Source organism: Homo sapiens, chromosome 8 (assembly GCF_000001405.40).
Source record: "Homo sapiens chromosome 8, GRCh38.p14 Primary Assembly".
NCBI classification, from domain to species: domain Eukaryota; kingdom Metazoa; phylum Chordata; class Mammalia; order Primates; family Hominidae; genus Homo; species Homo sapiens.
The window spans coordinates 33128032-33131260 of NC_000008.11; the positions used below are offsets into that span (position 1 = coordinate 33128032).

Sequence of the window (3229 nt, forward strand, 5' to 3'; positions counted from 1 at the left end):
GTGTTTCCTATTGGCAAACATAGCTTTTCCAGACTGGACCCTCCTCCTGTAAAGTTACCATTTCACTTTATTATCCAATTAGCCAACTGAGTGAACTCCGTTTCCTTCCAAATCCACCTATTTTCTATGAAAATAACTGGTCGAAATTACTGGTCTTCAGGTCAGAAATCCTTTCTCATTTGTTGGTTTTATTGTGAGGTCTTCTTGAGCAAATCATTTAACCATTCTGGGTCTTGTTTGTTTATAAAATGGGGATGATGATGCCTAACACAAACTGTTTAGCATCAGGTCTTATTTATTTTCTTCTTAGGATAAGGGGAAGGTCTTTTTAAGCATACTTTGAAAGCTTTAAGTCATCTTACAGATGTAATTTTTTATGCTAAATTGATAAGCATTAAGTCATAGCTAACAGATTTCTATTCTTCACATGTTCACAGATTACCTGTTTTTTTCCTTCTGTGGTCCACCAGTAGTAATATCGAATTGAGATCTAATGCTAATACCTATGGTGCCCTTCCAGACACCACCTTCGCACACTCAATTTGCCGTCCTTTATCTTTTTTTATCTCCCAGCCAGGCTTCTGTAATGCAACACCACTTCTGCCAACGCGGTCACTGACAGTACATTTTGCAAATGAGATCCTTTGGCATGCTAGATCTGATATTTCCCTGAAGTCTAGACACATTCCAGTGTGCCTATTCCATTATTTATGCATAGGTCTGCCATTTAGTTACCCAAGCTCTTTATGATAAAAGCTTACCTTCCCATCCTGTTTAGATGGTATAGATTAACAAATTAGAGAAATTCCTGACACTGGCTGACAACTGGCATAGTGCTTTACATTTTGTACTAGACTATAACAGGCAAGATCTCATTTTGACTTTTGTGAACAAACCTCATGAGCTCTACAGGGTAGGAACACTTGAATCCATTATCTAAACCTCAAAACAACTTATCCCAAAGTCACTAGCTAATAAATGGCAGATGTGAATCAACCCCAAATCTTCAAGCTCTGACCATGAATTTTGGATATCTTACAGAATGAATGAGGGCCAGGGTGAATTGCAGAGCAGAAAGTGAGGTAGAAACCAGAACCCCCACTCCTCCAGGACTAAGTCTCACACAAATGCATGCACATACCCATACCCTCCTCTGGGTTCCCAGAACACTACTTTTATATTTTCACTTTTGTACTTATTACATTTCTTTTTATGTGTTGCTTAGTCCATTTATACTGTTATAACAAAATACCTGAGACTGGGTAATTCATGTTGGGAATAACGTTCAAAATCCTAAGGAAATTGAACACTCAAAGGATTCTTAACAAAGCAATTTTACTTCTGCGCAGAGGGGTGCTTCTCCTTGGCCAGTCACCATGGGAGCACACCTGAACAAAGGGGCACGAGAGCCTTTACTCCTGATGCAAGTCCTGCCCCTGTACCCTTTCCCCATTGGCCGGGGTCTGGCCGTACAATCTAAACCAATCCCGGTTGGCTAAACATTTGAACTTTTTTTAGATAAGGTGGTCACGTAAGGGAGAGAGGGGAAAAGGGAAAGGGTGTCTGCAATGAGCCACAGAGCTAGTCTTCTTTCCAAATAAGGAAAGGAATGTGAGCTGGTACTGATAACACCTGGTACTGTGGCATGTCTGGGCGTGTAACAAAGGCAGAAAAGAAGAAAAAGAGAAAAAGAAAAAAGGCATTGGGGGGGGTACTATGAATTAAAGAATAAAGGATTGATCAGGCCATTTGAAGAGAAACCTCATTATGTCCCACATTCATAAAGAAAAAAAAATGTATTTTCTCACAGTTCTGAAGGCTGAGAAGTCCAAGATACCAGAAGGCTCATTGTCCAGTGAAGGTTGCTCTGCTTCCAAGAGGGCGCCTTGTTGCTGCCGCAGCCTCACATGTGGAAAGACAAGAGGGCAAGAGCTAACTGAATGTGGTGTGAAGCCTCTTTTATAATGGCCTTAATCCCACTTTGGAGGAAGAAGCTCGCAGGACCTAATCACCTCTCAAAGGCCCCACCTTTTACTATTACCGCATTGGCAACACCTGATTTTGGAGGCAACTCATTCAAACCATAGCATGTGTCTTTACTGGTTTCTGAGCTGCTGGAGAGAAGATAATACAGCTTTTTTTATATTTGTAGCTTCAGAACTGAACACACTATCTGGCACTTAGTTTCATGCTGTAAGTATTCGTTGGATGAATTTCAAGAGTTCATGTGTATGCACTGAAAAATAAAACAACAACAAAAACACTGTGTGTTCAATGTGCTCTAATGTATGAGGCTTGTTTTAGTTTTCAGGCTGCTAGAACAAGACTTCATAGACTGAGTGCCTTAAACAACAGAAATTTATGTCTCAGTCCTGGAGTCTAGGAAGCCTGAGATCAGGATGCCAGCGTGGTCAGGCCCCAGTGAGAATCCTTTTCCTGGTTTTCTCACATGGTGGATAGAAACAACTGCTCTCATATCTCTTCTTATATGGGGAAAAAAAAAATCCCATTAAGAAAGCTCCACCCTCATGACCTAATTACCTTCCAAAGGCCTCATCTCCAAATATTATAACAGTGGGGATGAGGGTTTCAACGTATGAACTGGCAGGCAACACAAACATTTAGTCTGTACCACAGCCCAATTTAGAAAATCTATCTAAACCCATACAGCCCATTGTCAAGTTAGACCTGTAGCTTTAAAATCAAACACCACTCCAGTCATTAGATAAGTCATTAAATAAGACTAACTAATTATCTAAATAATTAGATAAATCATTAAATAAGCACTTTATTTAGACATTATAGCATAGAGGCTAGGAGCACAGATGAACCCAGGCTACCTGGGTTTGGACTGGCTCCCCTAGCTGTGAGTCCTTGAATAAGTTACCCTGCTTCTCAGTACCTCGGTTACCATATTTGTAAAATGAAGGGAAATATTATACTCATCCTTCAGTATCTGCAGGGCATTAGCCCCAGGACCTCCAGAGGATACCAAAATCCATGGATGCTCAAGTCTCTGATATAAAATGGCATACTATTTGCATATAACCTATCCACATCCTCCTGTATACTTCAATCCATCTCTAGATAACCTATAATATTTAATACAATGGAAATGCTATGTAAATAGTTGTTATGCTGTGTTTTTAAAATTTATATTATTTTAAAATTGTTGTATTGTGATTTTCTATTGCTTTTTTTCTTTCAAATATTTTTCGTCCTCATTTGG

At 39.6% G+C, this 3229-nt stretch overlaps 1 annotated feature.

The window, feature by feature from the left end:
• Positions 928-2127: an enhancer, noted in NCBI's record as "MED14-independent group 3 enhancer chr8:32986477-32987676 (GRCh37/hg19 assembly coordinates)". NCBI's record gives its function as "activates an origin of replication core promoter dependent on BRD2, BRD4, P300/CBP and CDK7 cofactors, and independent of MED14, by STARR-seq in HCT116 cells {active_cell/tissue: HCT116}" and the evidence as "EXISTENCE:reporter gene assay evidence [ECO:0000049][PMID:35650434]".